The sequence below is a fragment of the Homo sapiens genome, chromosome 5 (assembly GCF_000001405.40).
Source record: "Homo sapiens chromosome 5, GRCh38.p14 Primary Assembly".
Taxonomy (NCBI): Eukaryota; Metazoa; Chordata; class Mammalia; order Primates; family Hominidae; genus Homo; species Homo sapiens.
Window position 1 is genome coordinate 31532118 of NC_000005.10, and position 23661 is coordinate 31555778.

Consider the following 23661-nt stretch of genomic DNA (forward strand, 5'->3'; position numbering starts at 1 on the left):
GAAAGCTGGGCCAAGGGAGGGAAAACTCTTCAGCCCACCGCAGGGCCTTGTGCGCGGTGATTGGCGCGTCAACGAAAGCGATGGACGTCTAGACCAATCGTCAGCAAAAGACCCTTTGGAGCCCGCGCCCCCTCCCCCTACGTCCTCCAATCCGAAAACGCAACCGGGTGAGGGAGCGCTTCCGCCCGGAGAGAGCTGGCCGGGATGAGGCGCCGGCTTTCCCGGGTCTTCTCCAGCTGCCACCGCTTTACTGCAAAACTGACGGGCGCAAAAACATGAGTGACTCCGCGGGAGGGCGCGCTGGTCTCCGGCGTTACCCCAAGCTCCCAGTGTGGGTGGTGGAGGATCATCAGGAGGTGAGCGGACGGCAACAGGGCTCTGGGGCAGAATCAGCGGAAGCCCTGACGCTCAGAGGGCCAAGCAGAGGGCGCAACCTTAGCATCGGAGGCCAGAGAGTTAACCAGAGTTAAACTGCCCTATTCCGTTGCTGTGGAGAGGACCCCAAAACAGCTAACTAGGAAGAATGAGAACTGACATTTATGGGCGCTTCCTACGAGTCGGGGCAACTTATTTACCTCGGTTTGCCCCCAAATCCCAGAACCAAACAAAAGGTGGCATCGGGATTCGAAACCGGACAGTCTGGCTGCAGAGCCCTGTGTTCTTAACCTGCAGTTAACTCTGGCTTCCAAGTATCTCCTGGAATCGCCACCACAGCCCTGCTGTTTAGATGGGAGGCTTTATGCTTGGAACGTGGGCTCTGATCTGAAATGGGGACAGTAATCGTAGGACTCACAGGGCTCTTAGGAGTATTATTGTGTGCATACTGTGTTTAAAAATCTTTTTTTTTTCTTTTTTGAGACGGAGTCTCTCTCTGTTACCCAGACTGGAGTGCAGTGGCGCGATCTCGGCTCACTGCAACCTCCGCCTCCTGGGTTCGAGCGATTCTTCTGTCTCAGCCTCCTGAGTAGCTGGGATCACAGGCACGCATCACCGTACCCAGCTAATTTTTGTATTTTTAGTAGAGACGGGGCTTCGCCACGTTAGCCAGGATGGTCTGAAAGTCTGACCTCACGTGATCGGCCCCCGCCGGCCTCCCAAAGTGCTGGGATTGCAGGCGTGAGCTACTGCGCACGGCCCATATTGCGTAAAAAAAAAAAAAAATTTAACACGGTGCCCTGCATAGATAAACACTAAAAGGGGTTTCCATGTTTATGGCCGTGCTGATTTACAGTAGCCAAATTGGTGTCTTAATCTAGACTTTTCCAAGTCAACAAAGGAGGCCCATGGATCTAATAAATATGTTTTAAAGTAGCATCAGTAGGCTTGGGATGGGAGGCAGTTCTCTGGACGTTAAAAAAGAAGAGGGATTTACTGTTGGTGACAGCTAATAGGAGAGGAAGATAGGTTTCTCAGGACCTGGATATAGTGTCTATGACCTTGAGAGAATGAGAAAGCCTAGGTTAGACGGTGCTTTCAAATTAGGTATTAAACCTAGAATTAGAGAAGATGTAAGAGGAGAAATGGCCTTTATAGACCACCTAGCCCAACCCCACCATTCTAAGTGTACCAAAAAGACCCTAACCAGCCTGGACAGCAGAGCGAAATCCCATCTCTACAAAAATAGAAGTGAAAAAATTAGCTGGGCGTAGTGGTGCGTGCCTGTAATCCCAGCTACTCAGGAGACTGAGGTGGGAGGATCGTGTGAACCCAGGAGTCCAAGGCTGCAGTGAGCCATGATCACACCACTGCTTTCCAGGCTGGGCAACTGACAAGCCCCTATCCCTTTTTAAAGGAAAAAAAAGAATACTTTGAGACCTAGGGTACCTTGAACACCTAGTTAATGTTAGAACAGGCATTAAGCGGTAGTTTGTTCCTGAGCCCCAGTCCTGGTCTGTTTCCCCACATGACCTGTTGAGTTCAAGGGGGCAGCAGGAAGGCCGCTGGAGATGCAGGTTGGAAGTTCTGAGGACAAAGTAATGCTTGAGATTATCATCTGCACCATCTACAGTAAACAAATTTTATGTTTTTCCACTTTACAGCAACATAGTATGCTTTCAATTATGTGCATTATTTAGCATTGTTTTTCAGTCTGCAGTTGAGTGTGTGCTCATGGTTTCAGTGTTAATTCTTATTGTGTGCCTGTGTCTTTTACAGGTTCTACCCTTTATATACCGGGCCATAGGCTCAAAGCATCTTCCTGCCAGTAATGTAAGTTTTTTACATTTCGACTCACATCCAGACCTCCTTATTCCTGTGAATATGCCAGCAGACACCGTGTTTGATAAGGAAACACTCTTTGGGTAATATGTGATTTTATTTATGGTCTTTTGTGTTTGAAGTACAATTTGCAGTAGATAATAAGCAATTATAGGAAATAGACTTTGCTAAACTCATGGGTTTGGGGGTTTTTTGTTTGTCTTTTTGTCTTTTTCATTTTATTTAGAACAAGTGTTGACAACTTTCTTAAAGAGCCAGATTAGCAAATATTTTAGGTTTGCTGGCTATATGGTCTCTGTTGCAACTATTAATCTTTGCCTTTGTAGTGTGAAAGCAATCACAAGCACTGTGTAAACAAATGACAGTAGCTGTGTTCCAATAAAGCTTTATTTACAAGCTGGGCATGGTGGATGAGCCTGTAGTCCCAGCTACTCAGGAAGCTAAGGTGGGAAGATCACTTGAGGCCAGCAGTTCCAGGCTGTGATCAAAGCCTGTGGATAGCTGCTGCACTCCAGACTGGGCAACATAACCAGACCCCATCTCTTAAAAGAAACAAACCAAAAAAACTTTGTTTACAAAAACAGCCTAGCCAATGTTTAATCCTTTTAATATTTGCCTTTATAGAGACCATTGGATTCTCACGTCTATTTCTGCATTTAGTCCATTGCCATATGCTGTTTTGGTTGAAATATATGATGAAGATTCAGGCTTTCACAGGCATGTAATTGGAAAAGGAAAGAATATTTTGATAGCCTTTTTAGATAATTGTGAATATTCTTTGATAGTGCGCCAAAACTTGAAAAGTAGTAGTTTATTAAAGCTTATTTGAAATGTAGAATTCAGCAATTCAGTATCAAGTGTGAATAACCATAGTTTCTTGACCACTCCTTTCAAGATAAATGGTGTTCACCTCAAAGTTCAATCACAAGTGCTTTTCCTTGAGACAACTGTTATGCTTCAAACTATGTAGCAGGAGAGCTTTCTGTGCATTTCTCATTTTGCCACACATAATATTTAAAAATGTATACTCAGGATGGAAATTTAATAAAATCAAGATGTTCTCGAATGACACTTTTATATTTATTTATTTATTTATTTTGGCAGTGGTTGGTAATGAAGAATATAGTAACTACTAACAGTTTGGTGCTGCTGCCTTAATTAATGTTGGAACATCAACCCACCAGTGCCTTTGCACCATCTTTGCAAATGTCAGTAAATGAAAACAGGAAATAATGCCTTAGTATTTTCATGAAAATAGTTTTGTAATAGTGATGTCCCTGAAAAAGTCTCAGGAACCACTCTAGGGACCACACTTTGAGACCTGTGGTCTTAAAATGTTGTGGATAAAATTACACTTGGGAAAAAATAAAAATAAAAGTTTTAATGTTGTCTCTATGTTTCTTTTCCAGAGAATTAAGTATTGAAAATTGGATTATGCCTGCAGTTTATGCTGGCCATTTTTCACATGTAATATGGTTTCATCCCACATGGGCTCAGCAGATCAGAGAGGGCAGACACCACTTTTTAGTAGGCAAAGACACTTCTACCACAACAATCAGGTAATTTCCTCATATTTGTGAATATGGAAGTGATTGAATGTTTCTATCTTATTTTGGATTCCTATAATAACTTCATAAGTCTCTGCACACAAATAGGGTCAGATTAAGCCTCGACTTCTCCAAAGAGTTCTCAAAACACGAAGAACAAACTTTTAAGTCTCTTGATATTCTTCATGTACCATTTATATTTAGTTGCTGGTCAAATTAGATTTTGAATGTGATCATTATCCTCCGGAATTTGGGCTTCATTGGTGATTAACTCCTTAAGCCATTGAAGTATCTTATAGATTTATACATTCAGTAGTACATTTTACTGTTTCCTGTCAGTATAACTGTTGTCTGCTGAATTTGCCGCAGTGGCTCACGCCTGTAATCCCAGCACTTTGGGAGGCCGAGGTGGGCAGAAGACGAGGTCAAGAGATCGAGATCATCCTGGCTAACATGGTGAAACACCGTCTCTACTAAAAATACAAAAACAAATTAGCCGGGCGTGGTGGCAGGCGCCTGTAGTCCCAGCTACTCAGGAGGCTGAGGCAGGAGAATGGCGTGAACCCAGGAGACAGAGCTTGCAGTGAGCTGAGATCGTGCCACTGTACTCCAGCCTGGGCAACAGAGTGAGACTCTGTCTCAAAAACAAAACAAAAAACAAACAAACAAAAAAACAGTAATTAGCAGTGAAAGGGCAAAATTATCTCACTTTGATTTTTTTATAAATCCAACTGCTGAATAAGTAGATTTGGGGCTTTAATTTTCTTTATAATATAATTAGTTTCAGATAAGTACTTAATCTAAAGTAAATTACAGTATCCTCTGACTTGAGATAAATATGCAACTGTTTTTATTGTATAAGCTATTTAACAATGTTTTGTGTATCTTGTGATACTATAATACTTTCAGAAATATCAATATGTTCTTGACTTTAAAATTCTCTTGTGATGGGATAAATATTTTAAACAGTATAGCCATAACTTTCTAGAACCTTAAGGATAATGGAGTGAAATGGTAATACGTTGAAAATCAGATAGTCTTCCTCATTGAAAATGATACTTTATTTCTAATTTATTCTTAATGATACAATTAACTTTTGTAGTATATAATCTTGTCGTTTGCACAAATAGCTTTGTTGTGATATATGAAAATTGTATTTATTTCAGATATAATTCAAAAGAAATAATTAAGACTCAGCATATAAATATTGTACATACTACTGGTATATGTGAAATAGTAGTAGGGTTTTTATTGAGTACTTCAGTGAGTAGGCCTGATTTAACCTACAAAATCAAATAATTTTCAGCAATCTGACACAGACATTTGAAACTCCACGTGTGATTAACAATTTTGGAAGATTTTGATTCATGACTTTGGTTAATCCTGCAAGTAAAAATGTATGGAAGAGACACATATACATGTTGGTGTGCAGTTTGACAAATACTTGCATGTTTGTATGATAGGAACATGGGAGAACTGCTGTTATTAAAAAGAATATTAATTTAGGTTGGGGGATACAGCTTCATCTTAGGGTTGTACAGTTTTAATAAGCTTGGACATTAGTTTTACTATGTCATTAATCTATTTTTGGAAAATAGCTTTTACAGTTTATAGCTGTGTATGCTGGGAGAGGTCAAGTGGGAAATAAATATTAACCATGATTTTAGGTGGGTAAGGCATGCCTCTAGAAGAAGTATTTGGCTTCACTGTTTGAAGTATTTACCAAGTCACCTTTCATACTGAGAATATTATGGTTATATAGAAATTAACAAAGCTCTAAAATATGTCAGGGGGAGTTTCTATTAAGAGAAATTATTTCCAGATGAAATTTTTCTCTTCAATGATTTTTTGGATAAAGATTCAGCTGGTATGAGAGAGAACAAAGGAACACTGGCTTAAACAAGAGAGTTTATTCTTATATTAGAATTCACTGTACACAGTCCAGGCCTATGTGGCAGCTCTAGAGTTTGGGGAACCCTAGTTCCTTCTACCTTTTTGCACCACCGTCTCTAGAATATTGCCCCTGTCCTTATAGTCCAGGGTGGCTTGCCACCTCTGTGTTCATATGCCAGTCAGCAGGGAACAGGAGAACAAAGCTCTGCATGCTTTTCTTCCATTCACAACCACCGGCCTTAATTTAATCACATGGCCACACCAGGCTGCAAGGCAGACTGAAATGTAGTCTTTATATGGGGCAGCTGTGTGTCCAGCTAAGAATTTGAGGAATGCTATTTCTACAGAAGAACAGGAAGTATAAATACTAGAGACTGCTCTCAGTTTTTGTCAAATAGGTCCGTTCTTATATTTCTGCCATACCATAGTGAAATGTCAACTGATTTGCCCATTCTTCTTAAAAATCGTTTTTTCCTCTGATTCAGGGTTACAAGTACAGATCATTATTTCCTAAGTGATGGTCTGTATGTACCTGAAGACCAGCTAGAGAACCAAAAACCTTTACAATTGGATGTAATTATGGTAAAACCTTATAAACTCTGTAACAATCAAGAAGAAAACGATGCAGTGTCTTCTGCTAAGAAACCAAAGCTAGCCCTGGAAGATTCGGAAAACACTGCCTCTACTAACTGTGACTCTTCTTCAGAAGGACTGGAAAAGGACACAGCAACACAGAGAAGTGACCAGACTTGCCTAGAACCATCATGTTCATGTTCTTCTGAAAATCAGGAATGCCAGACTGCTGCCAGCACTGGGGAAATTCTGGAAATTTTGAAGAAAGGGAAGGCATTTGTTTTAGATATTGACTTGGATTTTTTTTCAGTCAAGAATCCCTTCAAAGAAATGTTCACTCAGGTAAATAATTGTGTTTTTAACACATAGATCTTGAGAATTGTATGGCTTTTCTCTAGATGAGGAACCAGCAAACTCTTTAAACAGCCAGCTAGCAATTATTTTAGGCTTTGGGGTTCACATTCTCTACTAATACCCTTTTCTGTTGTTTTCTAAACCTTTTAAAGTTGTATATACCATTCTTAACTTGAGGGCCATACACAAACAGGCTATAGGCTGTGGATTGCCAACTCCTGCTCTAGATAGTATTCATTATTTTGCATTTATTAATTGGGGTAATGTATACATGGGTGATGGATAAAAATTAAGTCATACAGTACAGGTATATACAGTCAGCCCTCTGTATCCGTGGGTTCTGTATTCCTGGATTTAACCAGCCACAGATAGGAAATATTCAGAAAAAATAAAAAACAACTAGAAATAACAATACAAGAGTAAAAAATAATACAAATAAAAAACAATACAGTATAACAACTATTTACATAGGATTTACACTGTATTAGATACCACAAGTAATTTAGAGATGACTTAAAGTATATGAGAGGGTATGCATATGTTATATGCAAATACTACACTATTTTATGTCAGGGACTTGAGCATCCACAGATTTTGGTATCCACAGGAGGTCCCAGAACCAATCCCCCACGGATACCAAGGGACAAGTGTACATTGAAAAACAGCACTCTCTTATCCCCATTCCCTCAGTTCTTTGCTTCAGAAACAAATACTGTGATCAGTTTCTTGTGTATCTTTCCAGCGATATTCTATATATAAATCCTGTGTAACAGATTATTCCTTAAACAGTGATGTGCCTGATTACTCACCTAAATATTTGTAATAAATATTTGTAATGAAAGTTTCTAGAAGGTTACATAAGGAATTCAGTGGCAGTTATTCCTTTTAGAGTGCTATTAGGAAACCTGGGAACACAAGGATTTGTATAGCCTAAATACCCTTTGGTACAATGGACTTTTTAAAAAGCATATATTAAACTTTATTATTTAGTAGCAATTTTTTAAATATCATTAGGAAAGACAGATGTTCATCTTTTTTTTTTTCTTAAGAGCATGTTCAGGCTGGGCATGGTGGCTCATGCGTATAATCCCAGCACTTTGGGAGGCCAAAGCAGGAGGACCACTTGAGCCAAGGAGTTTGAGAACAGCGTAGGCAACGTAGCAAGACCCCATCTCTATTAAAAAAAAATTTTTTTTTTAATTTAGCCAGGCATAGTGGCACGTGCCTGTGGTCCAGCTACTCAGGAGGCTGAGATGGGAGGATCACTTGAGCCTGGGAGGTCAAGGCTGCAGTGAGTCGTGATCGCACCCCTGCACTCCAGCCTGGGTGACAGCGAGACCCCATCTCATAAAAAAGAAGCATGTTCAAAAGTTAGGGGAGTTAAGTTCTGTTGTTAACTCTACTGCTTATTAGCTATATGATCTTAGGAAAATTACTTAACCTTTCCGACCCATAGTTTCTTCAAGTATCAAATCAGAATAATAATCATACCCAACTCAGGATTGTTATAATGAATAAAGCACTGAAGATATGCCACAACATTGTGCTTAATGAATTTTAGCCCTTGGGTATAACCTTTTCCTGAGAATACTCCTAAATAGGATTACTGGGGCCAGGTGTACCCACCTATATAATGGATCCATGTAGCTGTGCTAAACAAGGGGAAACATTATCCTACAAAGTTTGTATAGCAAGCCTCTTTCTCCCCTTGTGTGGTGCCTCCTGACCGAGGTTCTATGTCTTTGACATTCTACCTCCAGTATTGCCTTTGTACTTCAGAGATCTCTTCTGTTGTTAGAGAAATGGCTGCAAAGTGAACATAGGGAGTTCTTTGTTGTTGTTATTAAAGATATGTATATTTCCTGTAAACAGCTAAGTCTGTTTAGATCCTAGGACATGGCATTTATATAGCAGAATATTATTTAAAATATTTTCATCTCGTGACCCATTAGCCACCAAGTATGCTTCCTTAGGTAATTTTTACATAGTAGTACCATGCCCAGCTGGATAGAGTTGCCTTGAAGAAGTGATATTTACAATAAAACAAAATTTTACAATATTTACAATAAAATTATTACAATAAAAATCTAAAGTATACATTTTGCCTGATTCTCCCATACATACCTTTAAATAATTATCTAAGATGTTCTTGTATCACAAGGAAGGTTGTCTCTTCCTTAAAGCATATCATTAAAAAATTTTAACTTTTTTTTTTCTGGTATGTGGATTTTTTGTTTTGTTTTCCAGGAAGAGTACAAAATCTTACAAGAGCTGTACCAATTTAAGAAACCTGGCACCAACCTAACAGAGGTATCCTCCATTTGTTTCTTTGGGGTTTTATTCATTTATCATATAACTAATAATATCTTGCAAATTACCACAGTGATCTCAAAGACTGCTCAAAGTGTGTGTGTGTGTGTGTGTGTGTGTGTGTGTGTGTGTGTGTGTATTGGCGAAGCCCATGGTTAGTACTTGAAAATTATGTTTTAACTAATAGAGCCAAGTTTTTTTTGTAATGGGATGTTGCTTGTTTTTTGAAAGAATAACTATATAATCTCAGCTTTTCAATGTATTTAAAGGAAGATTTGGTAGATATTGTTGATACTCGAATTCATCAATTAGAGGATTTAGAAGCCACTTTCGCTGATTTGTGTGATGGTGATGATGAAGAAACGGTACAGAGATGGGCTTCAAACCCTGGGTAAGACTCTCAAACATTTTTTTCCCCCAACTCTACTAACTTTCAGTCCTAGATATGTTCCTAAATTTGCAAGATACATTGCTTTTAAAAAAGTAGTATTCAGCTACTTGGGACACTGAGGCAGGAGAGGACCACTTGAGGCCAGGAGTTCCAGACCAGCCTGGGTAATGTAACAAGACCCTGTCTCTAAAAAAAGGTTTTTTAATTAGCCAGATATGGTGGCACCTACCTGTAGCCACTACAGCCACTGCTCCCAGCTACTTGGGAGGCTGAAGTGGGAGGATTGCTTGGGCCAAGGAGTTTGAGGCTGTAGTGGGCTGTGATCATGCCACTGCACTCTACCCTGGGTGACAGAGACTTGTCTCAAAAAAGAGAGAAAAAAAAGAATTAGTATTAAATTTCAACACATTTACTAACAATAGTAGACATTATTGAGTGTTTTCTGTGTACCCTTTATCTAAGATTTTTCCTTGCCTTATCTCATGTACTCCTTACAACAGTCTTATGGTTTTATTATTATTATGTCAATTTTATAGATGAGGAAACCAAGGTTAAGTAAATTGCCCCAAGTCACATAGTAAGTGGGCATGTTTTTAGTCTTTGTATGGTAGCTGCCCCTAAATATGAGATACTATACAAGGTCTTAAAGAGAATTAAAGATGAGTAGTACATAGGCATTCCCTGTTCTAAGTAGAGTAAGAAAGAAATACTAACCTAACAACAGAAAAGTAAATTACTTGACAAGTAAATTACAATGCAAAAATTTGGCTGGGCGTGGTGGCTCACGCCTGTAATCCCAGCACTTTGGGAGGCTGAGGCGGGCGGATCATGAGGTTAGGAGATCGAGACCATCCTGGCCAACACGGAGAAACCCAGTCTCTACTAAAAATACCAAAAAAAAAAAAAAATTAGCCGGGCATAGTGGTGGGCGCCTGTAGTCCCAGCTACTCGGGAGACTGAGGCAGGAAAATGGCGTGAATCCGGGAGGCGGAGCTTGCAGTGAGCCGAGATTGCATCACTGCACTCCAGCCTGTGGAGACTGGACTTTTTCTGAGACTCCGTCTCAAAAAAAAAAAGCGAAAACTTAGCTTCTTTTAAGGAAAACCCAAACACAAGTGGAAGGGTATTTTCAATCTCTTGACGTGAAGGAGCAGTATTTGAAGGCTAGATTCTCCATCAGGTAATTTATTTGACTGGCTGTTCATATCACCTTGAAAGAATGGAGAGAGAAGTTCTTTTTGAGTGAAAGCCTTTGGTATTGAAGCTGGAGTGAAAGAATATTGACATAAATATTACAGTGATTTTTCTCTAAAATAATTCTTAAATCATGTAATCTCAAACAGCCAGAAAACTAAAATAAAACCATCAGACAAACTTTTTGTCCCCATGAGCATAGGAAAACCAGAACTAGCTTATTTTAAAACTAATCTCCCACGAACTGTCATATTATTCTCTCTGGTGTAAACAAAAGAAAATCAGTTGTAAGGTAGCAAGATAAAACGGGAAATTAGAATCAATAGTACTTTAGGCCAGAACATGAACAGCCACTAAGATTTGTCATGTTTTGGTTATTAAAAATAATTCAGCAGATCTCTAGAAGAATATGGAAAAAGCTGAAACAGTGGTTGCCTCTGGGGAGAGGAATTCTATGGCTAAATGATGAAGTATATGAGTGAGAAATTACTTCTTTTGCTATGTGCACGTATTATCTATTCAAAATACTCATTGTAATTTTTACTTAAAATATTCAGAAACATCCCTAAAATGTAAACATCATAAAGCTTTAATTATTGACACTAACAAAGCAGTGATGTGGAAGAATAATTCACAGTAATATTAATCACATCAGTAAGTATTGATTAGGCACTTTAACATCAGTTAATGGCCGGGCGTGGTGGCTCACCTCTGTAATCTGAGCACTTTGGGAGGCCAAGGTGGGCAGATCGCCTGAGCTCAGGAGTTCGAGACCAGCCTGGGTGACATGGTGAAATCCTGTCTCTACAAAAAAATACAAAAAATTAGCCAGGCATGGTGGCATGCACCTGCGGCCCCAGCTACTTGGGAGGCTGAGGTGGGAGGATCACTTGAGCCTGGGAGGTCAAGGCTGCAGTGAGCTGAGATCGCACCACTGCTCTCCAGCCTGGGTGACAGAGGGAGACCCTGTCTCAAAAAAAGAAAGAAAAAAAAATCAGTTAATGCTTTTTCCTCTTCAGTATAGGGTTCTAAAATGATTCCCTGTTTTTTGAAATGATAGAAGAGGGAGATAGAAAAATAAGTCACAGGACAGGAGTCTTCCTAGAAATACTGAAAAATACCTATTATTTTGTTATTTCATGAAGTCTCAAGCTAAGTTTAAAACTTCAACAACAACAAAATAGGCCTGGAAACCTTGGAATCCTAAGTCCAGCCCACAGACTTCCACTGAAACCCACTCTGCCTACTGAGCATGCCCAGTTAGCTCCTCATCACCAGCAGAGAGTTCTATCACAGACTTGAAAATATGATGAGACTGCAACAGTAGTGAGTTTAGACTGTGCTTGGTATTGAAGGGAGAAAAAAAATAGCATAAAGGAAAAGTAGATGACACTGAAAGAAAAGTCTCCCCAAACCAACCATGACCCTAAAGAGCCAGACCCTCGGCATGGAGGCTTCGCTATGTCTAGGGAAGTGAGGTGGGTGTTTAGGGTCCAGAAGCCTAGAAAATGTCATTAATTAAAAGGAAAAAGTAACAGGACAAGTGGGCAAGCAGGCAGGCCTCCATGCCTCCTTTTTTCTTTCTTTTTTTACTCCCAGCAAATTCGTGAATATTTGTGGAGGAGGAATTAAAACACTAGAAGCATTAGCCAATCAGAGCTTCCAAAAGGTCCACCTAAACTTAATACCTTAAAAGCATCAATGTGGCCGGGCGCGATGGCTCACGCCTGTAATCCCAGCACTTTGGGAGGCCAAGGCGGGCGGATCATGAGGTCAGGAGATCGAAACCATCCTGGCTAACACGGTGAAACCCCGTCTCTACTAAAAAATAAAAAAAATTAGCCGGGCGTGGTGGCGGGCACCTGTAGTCCCAGCTACTTGGGAGGCTGAGGCAGGAGAATGGCGTGAACCTGGAAGGCGGAGCTTGCAGTGAGCCGAGATCGTGCCACTGCACTCCAGCCTGGGCAACAGAGTGAGACTCTTGTCTCAAAAAAAAAAAAAATGCATCAATGTTATATCAGATGATGTAGGATTTTTCCGATTATAATTGTATTTACTGGCTAGGCCTGGGTTCACACCTGTAAAATCCCAACACTTGGGAGGCTAAGGTGGAAGGCTTACTTGAGGCCAAGAGTTAAGACCAGTCTGGGCAACATAGCAAGACCCTATCTCTACAAAAAGATTTTAAAATTAGTTGGGTGTGGTGGTGTTCACTTATAGTCCCAGCTACTCGGGAGGCTGAAGTGGGAGATTCCTTAAGCCCAGGAGTTCGAGGCTGCAGTGAGCCATGATCACACCACTGCCCTGTAGCCTGGGTGGTAGTGAGATCCTGTCTCAATAGTAATAATAATTGTATATACAAATAAACGTGTCCTTAATTTTTTTTTTTTTTTTTTAGCTTTCAGGAAACAGCCTTTTTTCATCACAGTGTGCTAAAAACACTTAGTTTTCTTGCTAATCAAAATAATTTTTTTTTTTTTTGAGACAGTTTCACTCTTGTCACCCTGGCTGGAGTGCAATGGTGCGGCCTCAGCTCACTGCAAACTCCGCCTCCTGGGTTCAAGCAATTCTCCTGCCTCAGCCTCCCGAATAGCTGGGATTACAGGCATGCACCACCACACCTGGCTAATTTTGTATTTTTAGTCGAGACAGGGTTTCACCACATTGGCCAGGCTGGTCTCGAACTCCTGACTTCAAGTGATCCGCCCGCCTCGGCCTCCCAAAGTGCTGGGATTATAGGCATGAGCCACCGCACCTGGCCTCAAAATAATTTTTAAAGTCAGTAGAACTTCCCATTTTTGAAGAAGAAATCTCATTTTCTTGAATGCTCACTTTTAGTCTTTAACACAATGTGTAATCTTTTGGGTAAGAAAACAGGAAACATTTATTTCTTAATATTTTAAGATATTTGAACAGCTTTATCTTTTATTTCCCAAGTGCCATATGAAGCATGTTATTATGGTAAATGTTAGTATAATGTATAATTTGCTATTATCATTTTAGTTGTGGTGGTTGTGATGTTTAATTGAGTGGGATGGCTTTTTTCCAGAATGGAATCACTAGTTCCCCTTGTACAGAGTTTGAAAAAACGGATGGAAGTACCAGACTATGAAATGGTAAATATTTTATATTAATGTGTAAAATTGACCCTTTGTAAAGACAATTTTCTGGGTAGAAGAATTTCCTTTTTGTTAAAGTGGTTCGTTTTTGTTTGTGTTCCTGTGAAGTCTGAAACAATTATTAAGAAAAGAAATGAGTGAAAAAAATACATACGTTGAAACAGAATACTGTTTTCCTGGAAAAGTCTTCCAGGAAAAACTTTTTTTTCTCAATTTTATGTATGAAGCAAAAGTCCTGTGTGTTTTTTGTAATTTTGTCTGTGGTCGGATCTCTCTTCACCAGACAAAAGAAAAGTACACAATTTCTAAAATGGTCCATTTTTTATTGATGAGTATTTATACTGCCTTCTGCCTTCCTTCTTTTCCTCCCTATTTAAAAACTTTTCCGTTTGTAAAAACCACAAGACAAAGAAAAAAGAGAGAGCTGTGACTAGCACATTTTAAATGTGTTAGCTGTTTGTCAACAGGTATCTGAATGCTATGGCCAAAGATACTTTTAGTCATAATTTATTTGTATATCATTTTGCAGTCTTTGAAGCATATATTTTCCCATTTGACCTGGTACTTGAGATGAGAAAGCTATAGCTTAAAATGTTCAAGTGACTTTTCTCAGATTTGATGCCAGGGCTAAGACTTCCAAGTCTCCTTCCTCTTAGTGTGGTCTTTCTCTTACTTCAGTAAGCTGGGTTTGCATATTTTATTTACTTATGGAATACAGTCAGACCACTGTGTTTGACTAAAGTTGAAGTATTGATTTAAGTATTGATTGAATTTATAAGAATTTGCTGGTACTCTTTAAAATAAGAGATGTCTATTTTCACACTGCTGATAAAGACATACCTGAGACTGGGCAATTTACAAAAGAGATTTAATGGACTTACAGTTCCATATGATTGGGGAGACCTCATAGTCATGGCGGAAGGTGAAAGGCAGGTCTCACATGGTGGCAGACAAGAGAGAGAGCTTGTGCAGGGAGACTTTTGTTTTTAAAACTGTGAGATCTCGTGAGACTCATTCACTATCATGAGAACAGCACAGGAAAGACCCACCCCTACAATTCAATCACCTCCCATCGGCTTCCTCCCACTACATGTGGGAATTGTGGGGGTTACAATTCAAGATGAGATTTGGATGGGGACACAGCCACACCATATCATTCCATCCTTAGCCCCTCCCAAATCTCCTGTTCTCGAATTTCAAAACCAATCCTGCCTTCCCAACAGTCCCTCAAAGTCTTAACTTATTTCAGCATTAACTCAAAAGTCCACAGTCCAACATCTCATCTGAGACAAGGCAAGTCCCTTCCACCTATGAGCCTGTAAAATCAAAAGCAAGTTAGTTACTTCCTAGATACAATGGATGTACAAGAATTGGGTAAATACAACCGTTCTAAATGGGAGGAATTGGCCCAAAGGGGCAGTGCAAGTCTGAAGTCCATCAGGGCAGTCAAATCTTAAAGCTCCAAAACGATCGTCTTTGACTCCATGTCTCACATCCAGGTCACGCTGATGCAAGAGGTGGGTTCGCATTGTCTTGGGCAGTTCTGCCCCTGTGGCTTTGCGGGATACAACCTCCCTCCTGGCTGTTTTCATGAGCTGGTGTTGAGTGTCTGCAGCTTTTCCAGGCACACAGTACAAGCTGTCAGTGGATCTACCATTCTGGGATCTGGAGGACGGACAGTGGCCCTCTTCTCACAGCTCCACTAGGCAGTGCCCCTAGGGACTCTCAGTGGGGATCCGACCCCACATTTCCCTTCCACACTGCCCTAGCAGGGGTTCTCCATGAGGGGCCTGCCCCTGCAGCAAACTTCTGCCTGGGCATCCAGGTGTTTCCATACATCTTCTGAAATCTGGGCAGAGGTTCCCAAACCTCAATTCTTGACTTCTGTGCACTCACAGGCTTGATCAACACCACAAGGAAGCTGCCAAGGCCATCCTCTGAAACCACAGCCCGAGCTCTATGTTGGCCCCTTTTAGCCATGGCTGGAATGGCTGAGACACAGGACACCAAGTCCCTAGGCTGTACACAGCACTGGGACCCTGGGCCCTGCCCATGGAACAATTTTTTCCTCCTAAATCTTCAGGCCTGTGATGGGAGGGGCTACCGCAAAGGTCTCTGACATGCCCCAGATACATTTTCCCTATTGTCTTGGGGATTAACATTTGGCTCCTCGTTACTTATGCAAATTTCTGCAGCCAGCTTGAATTTCTCCTCAAAAAATGGAATTTTCTTTTCTTTAACATTGTCAGGCTGCAAATTTTCCAAACTTTTATGCCCTGTTTCTCTCTTAAAACTGAATGCCTTGGCCAGGCACAGTGGTTCACGCCTATAATCCCAGCACTTTGGGAGGCCAAGGCTGGCGGATCATTTGAGGCCAGGAGTTCAAGACCAACCTGGCCAACATGTTGAAACCCCGTCTCTACTAAAAATACAAAACTTAGCTGGGTGTGGCAGTGCACACCTGTAATCCTAGCTACTCAGGAGGTTAAGGCAGAGAATCGCTTGAACCTGAGAGGCAAAGGCTGCAGTGAGCCGAGATGGTACCACTGCACTCCAGCTTGGGTGACAGAGCGAGACTCCATTTCAAAAAAAAAAAAAACTGGATGCCTTTAACAGCACCCATGTCACCTCTTGAATGCTTTGCTGCTTGGCAGTTTCTTCCACCAGATATGCTAAATCATCTCTCAACTTCAAAGTTCCACACATCTCTAGGGCAGGGGCAAAATGCCACCAGTCTCTTTGCTAAAATATAACAAGAGTCACCTTTGTTCCAGTTCCCAGCAAGTTCTTCATCTCCATCTGAGACCACCTCAGCCTGGATTTCATTGTCCATGTCATTATCAGCATTTTGGTCCAAGCCATTCAACAAGTCTCTAGGAAGTTCCAAACTGTCCAACATTTCCCTGCCTTCTTCTGAGCCCTCCAAACTGTTCCAACCTCTGCCAGTTCCAAAGTTGCTTCCACATTTTCAGGTATCTTTTCAACAGTGCTCCACTCTACTGGTACCAATTTACTGTATTAGTCTGTTTTCACGCTGCTGATAAAGACATACCCAAGACTGGGCAATTTACAAAAGAAAGAGATTTAATGGACTTAGTGTTCCACATGATTGGAGAGGCCTCACAATCATGGCAGAAGGTGAAAGGCACATCTCACATGGCAGCAGACAAGAAGAGAGAGCTTGTGCAGCGAGACTTGTGTTTTTAAAACCATCAGATCTCCAGCCGGGCATAGTGGCTCACATCTGTAATCCCAGCATTTTGGGAGGCCGAAGCGAGCAGATCACCTGAGATCGGGAGTTCGAGACCAGCCTGACCAGCATGGAGAAACCCCATCTCTATGAAAAACACAAAATTAGCCGGGCGTGGTGGCGCATCCCTGTAATCCCAGCTACTCGGGAGGCTGAGGCAAGAGAATCGCTTGAACCCAGGAGGTGGAGTTTGCAGTGAGCCAAGATCATGCCATTGTACTCCAGCCTGGGCAAAAAGAGTGAAACTCTGTCTCAAAAAAAGTAAATAAATAAAACTGTCAGATCTCCTGATACTCATTCGCTATCATGAGAACAGTGCAGGAAAGACCCACCCCCACAGTCACCTCCCACCAGGTTTCTCCCATGACACATGGAAATTGTGGGAGTTACAATTCAAGGTGAGATTTGGGTGGAGATACAGCCAAACCATATAATGAGCAAAGCAAAAGAATATTTTGGTGAAACCTAAGCAAATCCAAGACTTAAACTTTTTTGTTTAACTTTTTTTTTTTTCCCCTGGGAGCATATATTCAAATTGCCCTGAATAAACACTTCCAAGACTTACACTTTTTAAAAATGGTAATTAAGAAGATCGTTATAAGATACTTAAGGTTTGAAAATGTTTTGAGGCCAGGAGCAGTGGCTCATACCTGTAATCCCAGCACTTTGGGAGGCCAAGGCAGGTAAATCGCTTGAGCCCAGGAATTTGAGACCAGCCTGGGCAACATGGCAAAACCCCATCTCTACAAAAAATACAAAAATTAGCCAGGTGTGGTGGTGCACACCTGTAGTCCCAGCTACTTGAGAGGCTGAGGCAGGAGGATTGCTTGAGCCTGGGTGGTTACAATGAGTTGAGATCCTGCCATTGGACTCCAGCCTGGGCAACAGAGTGAGACTTTGTGTCAAATTTAAAAAGAGAAAGAAAATGCTTTGAATTCATACAATATTATCAAATATGTCTGCAGGCAGGTCTGCTTTAATCATTACATTGCATCTGGGTTTTTTTCGTTGGGTGGGTTTGATGTTTTTTGGGGGGCAGGGAATGGCTAGGGCTCAGTCACAGATTATGTAATCCATTATGATATGCCCTACAGCTGCAGAGATAGAACGCTAAATAGTTTTATCATTTTGGCAAAATGAACATCCAGAATTCATCCTTTTATCACACTGACTGATCATTGCCAGTTAAATTGTTGATGTGTATCCAAAGCCTCCAATAAAATATTTGATTAGTGTGTTTTTTCATACTTTGCACTTGCGTACTCTAGGCAAAACTATGACATAGTTAAGTTCCAGTTTTCAAAACATTAAAGTTAAGGTTGCAGAATGGTAGCATGTGAGCCACTTCTAACTTTCAGGCAAGTTTAGTGTAGTGCTAAGACTAGAACATATTCCATTCAAATTTAAAACACATAGGTAGATAGCAGTAGCTTATGGTTATACATAAAGGATACACAAGAAAACAGTTTGGTTAAATAAGGTAGGATAAATATTTTCTCTTGTATCCTCTCAAAGCTTTGAATGTAGTACTAGGTGCACATATTAATATTTAAAAAGTAAGTAAAATAATGTGTTAAAAATGAGATAAGAATATGTACAATTTTTTTTTTTCTTTTTGAGACGGAGTTTCGCTCTTGTTGCCCAGGCTGGAGTGCAATGGCACGATCTTGGCTCACTGTAACCTCTGCCTCCCGTGTTCAAGTGATTCTCCTGCCTTAGCAGGAGAAGCTGGGATTATAGGCATGTGCCACCACGCCCGGCTAATTTTGTATTTTTAGTAGAGACGGGGTTTCTCCATGTTGGTCAGGCTGGTCTCCAACTCCCGACCTCAGGTGATCCGCCTGTCTCAGCCTCCCAAAGTGCTGGGATTACAGGCATGAGCTACCACGCCTGGCCTCAACTTTTTAGAATCTAGATGAAATGGATAATTTGATAGAAAATGTGAATTACCAAAATTGACCCAAGCCCAATGAAGTAGTTAAAGAATTATTCTAAAAAGAGGCATCTGGCCCAGACAGGCATATAGGCGAGTTCTACCAACACTTCAGAGAGCAGATAACTTTTATGACATAGAAACTGTTAAGGAAAAAATAATCCCAATGCATAAAAATATTAAAAATTAAAAGTTTTTCATATTTAAGGTGTTGGATATCCCAGTTACCCTGATTTGATCTTTATATGCTATTATGAATCACATGTACCCTGAAAATATGCACATCTTTTATGTATCAATAAAAGTAAAGATTTGTCAATAAGGCCATTAATGATTAAAGAAGCTTATAAAAACAACTGTCATACAGTGTAATTTTTAATTGTCTTATTTTCAGGTTCACCAGGCTGGTTTAACCTGCGATTATTCAGAACTTCCTCACCATATCAGCACAGAACAAGAAATAGAGTGTCTTATTCAATCTGTGCATTATTTGCTGAAAAATTTACCAAATCCTACTCTTGTGACAATTGCAAGGTAAGTGTGTTCAGCAGAATAATGGCAAATCAGAGATGTGCACATCCTAATCTCTGGAACCTGTGAATATGTTACATTATATGGCAAAAGGAAATTCGCAGTGTGATTAACTCAAGGATTTTGAGATGAGATTATCCTGGATTTATCAGGTGGGCCCAGTGTAATCACAAGGGTCATTAGAAGAGAAAGGCAGGAGGGTCAGAATCAGAGAGAGTGATTCGAAAATTCTACACTTCGGGCTTTGAAGGTGGAGGCCACAAGCTAAGGAACACAGGCAGCCTTTAGAAGCTAGAAAAGGCCAGGGGACAGATTATCCCTGGGATCTTACAAAAAGAATGCAGCCCTGTCAGCACCTTTATTTTAGGACTTCTGACCTCCAAAACTATATAATAAATTAGTGTTGCTTTAAGCTACTAAGTTTGTGGTGATTTTTTATAGCAGCAGTAGGAAACTAATACAATCTCTGTAGGTAAATAACCTGGTCACTAGAGCGTAAAATGAGTTTATCAGTGGTCTTACAGATTATCTCTTTAGGTTTGAAATACTTGTACTAAGGAGTAGGCCAGATAACTAATTCCAGTTCTTCTATAAAGATTTCTGTGCTGCTCTTCTCACTCTGTCCTCTAGAAGGCTTTATTCACCCTTATCCGGAACCAGGAGACACTGGTTAATCCAGTTGTAACTGGCAGCAGCATTGTAACTGCCCAGTGCAACTCAGGTTGCAGTTGGTAAGTTCTGGAAAGACTCCCAAAATACAGATATCTGCCCCAACCTACTTTGCTCTTTTCTGCTTCCTACTGCCTAGGAAAGTAAATCCAACACCAGCACATCGCCACATTTCATTTTGGACCAAGCCATGGATCCTTTATAATTTTGTAGTTAACAAATCATTTTTAGAAATAGGATCCTTTTATCAGTTGGAAAACCTCGACCCTCATCATTTCTAGCCCTAGCACACACATAATAAAAGATGTTCCATCGCTAAGATAATAAGCCCCTGTATTCCCAAGCAACATCTCACTTTCAGGCAAACAATGGTCTAGCAATCAAGCATTAAGGCACACACCGCATGTCACCTTGCACAGGTTAATCTCTTTCAGATTTCTTTAAAGGGATAGTAATTGTGCCTATTTCATAGAGTTGCTGTGAAAATTAAAGAACATAATTTATGTAAGGTGACTAACATGGGGTAAACCTTCACTAGCTTTCAATTGATATTAATCCAAAGTTCAGCACACCTTAATTTCTGTTTTACATTGAAATGAACACATGCAGCTTTTCCTCACAGTATGATTTTATCCTATGTGTATTTTTCTTCTTTCTCTTTCTGTTGGTTCTAGGTCAAGTCTGGATGATTACTGTCCTTCTGACCAAGTTGACACTATTCAAGAAAAGGTCCTCAATATGCTACGTGCCCTCTATGGAAATCTAGACCTCCAAGTGTATGCAGCAGAGTCTCCTCCATCTTGAAACAAACAAAACATTAGGCTCCTGTTGTATCTTGGTTTAGTAACAGGCCCTTAATTAACTTATTTGTACATGAGTCTTCCAGAGAACACTGTTTTATATTAACTTTCAGTTGAAATCTTTCAGATATTTTGAATCTCTGAACAACCATTGTCAGTTGTGAATGATGGTAAATTTTTTGGCATCAAGTCTCATAACCCCAACTGATAGAACTGTTGCTTATCTGTCTTCCTTAAGTATTTTTTAGGGTTTTGTTTTTTTTTTTGTTTGTTTGTTTGTTTGTCTTCACTTTTCCCCCAGGTCTGTTGAGCTGTATGAGATTCATTCATACTTCATTTATTCATTCAACTAATATTTGTTGAACACTTACATGTACCAGACATTATTAAGTGCTGGGTATATGGTAATGAACAGAATAGACAAGGCCCCTGCCCTTTTAGGGGAGACAGATGAGAAGTAAATTACGGGTTATGAGAAATGTTATGAAGGAAAGGACAACAACAGACATGTCTTAGTACTTAGGGTATCATGGCTTTATAGGAAAGTAACATTCTCTATCTTTTTTTTTTTTTTTAATTTTATAAAAATAGAGATGGGGTCTCACCATGTTACCCAGGCTGGTCTCAAACTCCTGGGCACAAGCAATCCACCTGCCTTCGCCTCCCGAAGTGCTGGGATTACAGATGTAAGTCACTACCCCAGCCAGAAACTAACATTCTCAAAAGCTACTACCAAAAAAACCCCACAAATTTGCCAATCCATGAAAGTATCATAGGAAGTCTACCTTTCCAAGGAATTTGGCATTGTGGCCCTGCTCTTGCCAAATGCTCTCCAGCATTGTTGGTATCAAGGTGGTCTGGTTGAGTAAACTTGACCAAACAAAAATTAACTGTTTTTTGCTTTTCTGTTTTTGTTTTGCTGATCAAAAAAGCCCTTCAGGGTCTCTTGTGCATCCAGGAGGTCATTGTAGATATCAATAATATAGTGCCTAAGTGCCACTTTATTGCCAAGTCTAGATTGATACTTTTTTCAGATAAACCAGCTTTTTATGTAAAGAGTAAGGGAAAAAGTTAAATCTTTAATTCTGACCTGCCATAAATACCCAAAGATATAAACTGTCTTCCACCACCCCCCTCATAACTAAGACATCCTTCCTGAGTCACTCTTAATCATGAAACTTGATTTTCTCAATTGGCCAGTCTTCTGATCTTTAGTATCTCTTTAGTTCAGTAATTTTTACCTACCTACTTGATTTATTTTCCTTTAAAAGGTGAAATGACATTTAAAGAAAAACAAACACCCATCATTCCTCAGTCCCAACACAGCAGTTCTTTTCACTCTTGCTTGTAACTTTCAGGCCTTACCCACATGTGTTCCTATAGAGTTGCATGTAGCTAAAATTATAGTGTGCTGCCTAACTTTGTGCTAATAACGAAGGACACACATTATCATTGCCTCACAGTGGATGGCACCTGACCCCATTTTTCCAAGGATTCTATTTTCCAGTGAATTTTTGTCACCGAGTTAATTTCCCAAGTCTGATAGCATGAATGCTTATTTGTGCTGTGAAAAGCAGAGCAGCCTGACTCAGCTTTCCATTTTCATAGGATAATATGTGCCAAAAAAGGTTTATTTTCTTGGTAAAATCAGAATTGTAGAATTGTGCTATTTTTAATTTTTAAAATTTTTGGTTAGAGCTTATAGACATTACTTTTATGATTATTTTGCGTGCTAAATAAGTTAAAGGGTATGTTTTGAACTATAGCACTAATTAATGTGTGTGATCCTAGTATGTTGATAGCTTTGATTTTGTGAGTGGTTTACTAGTCATTTATTATGATTCCCATGAACTCTGATATGATTCATTGTGGTTTTAACTCAGGTTGAATAAAAGCATCCATTTCTTTTATAGGAAGGTTTGTTTAATTCTCATGTTCTGTGATCATCTCTTTGAGAATAAAATTCAGTCCCTAATAGTTGAAAAGAATCAACTTAGTAAATTATGTCTTGCACATTCCAAATAGGAAGGTATTTACTTTATCAAGATGTGTTTCATTTGTGTTCTGAGTACCAGTGAGGGGATACCGTGGTACAGTGTTTTGAATTGTGTACTAATATCATTAAAGCATGGGATTTTAGTGGCTTTTTAAAAAATGTGACTTAAGTGTAAGCGTAGACTTTAACTTAATAAGTTGTGTATTTCCTAGTATCTACGGGGAAAAAATTTAAGTCCAGCCTTTCATAATAACCTTTTGACTGTCAATTTTAGATCTCTTTAGAAACATTTCCTATAGTTGGCCATGCGCGGTGGCTCACGCCTGTAATCCCAGCACTTTGGGAGACCGAGGTGGGCGGATCACGAGGTTAGGAGATCGAGACCATACTGGTTAACACGGTGAAACCCCGTCTCCACCAAAAATACAAAAAAAAAAAAAATTCTCCAGGCGTGTAGGCAAGCACCCGTAGTCCCAGCTACTCCGGAGGCTGAGGCAGGAGAATGGCGGAAGCCCAGGAGGCGGAGCTTGCAGTGAGCCAAGATCGCACCACTGCACTCCAGCCTGGGCGACGGAGACAGACTCTGTCTCCAAAAAAAAAAAAGAAAGAAATATTTCCTATAGGCACGGGTCTTTATGTGTTCTAGCTTCTCAAGGAGCTCTTAGTCAATGTCCTTCACACTTTTTTTTTTTTTTTTTTTTTTTGAGGTAGGGTCTCGCTGTGTTGCCCAGGCTGGAATGCGGTAGTGTGATCTTGGCTCAGTGCAGCTTCAACCTCCTGGGCTCAAGCGATCCTCCTACCTCAGCCTCCCAAGTAGCTGGGACTACAGGTGTGTGCCACCATGCTAGGCTTTTTATTATTATTATTTTGTAGACATGAAGTCT

The 23661-nt window shown here is 40.2% G+C and overlaps 1 protein-coding gene across 8 annotated transcripts, besides 3 other annotated features; it reads left to right on the forward strand.

Moving 5' to 3' along the window:
• Positions 56–225: an enhancer, noted in NCBI's record as "active region_22431". NCBI's record gives its function as "activates an Ori minimal core promoter by ATAC-STARR-seq in GM12878 lymphoblastoid cells {active_cell/tissue: GM12878}" and the evidence as "EXISTENCE:reporter gene assay evidence [ECO:0000049][PMID:35858748]".
• On the forward strand, positions 184–22936 carry C5orf22 (chromosome 5 open reading frame 22). 8 transcript variants are annotated; one of them, XM_017009607.2, is made up of 11 exons: positions 184–356; positions 2155–2300; positions 2842–2934; positions 3627–3776; positions 6143–6572; positions 8832–8894; positions 9164–9285; positions 13529–13595; positions 16373–16570; positions 19176–19315; positions 20656–22936. In XM_017009607.2, exons 1-11 carry the CDS (start codon positions 276–278, stop codon positions 20783–20785), a joined length of 1620 nt encoding a protein of 539 aa, XP_016865096.1. In that variant the 5' UTR covers positions 184–275; the 3' UTR covers positions 20786–22936. The 8 variants fall into 8 exon arrangements, 7 of the variants coding, with proteins under 7 accessions (XP_016865096.1, XP_011512364.1, XP_016865097.1 ...); XM_011514062.4 differs by lacking the exon at positions 16373–16570; XM_017009608.3 differs by lacking the exon at positions 2842–2934.
• Positions 256–305: an enhancer, noted in NCBI's record as "active region_22432". NCBI's record gives its function as "activates an Ori minimal core promoter by ATAC-STARR-seq in GM12878 lymphoblastoid cells {active_cell/tissue: GM12878}" and the evidence as "EXISTENCE:reporter gene assay evidence [ECO:0000049][PMID:35858748]".
• Positions 356–405: an enhancer, noted in NCBI's record as "active region_22433". NCBI's record gives its function as "activates an Ori minimal core promoter by ATAC-STARR-seq in GM12878 lymphoblastoid cells {active_cell/tissue: GM12878}" and the evidence as "EXISTENCE:reporter gene assay evidence [ECO:0000049][PMID:35858748]".
• Positions 22937–23661: the final 725 nt, after the last annotated feature.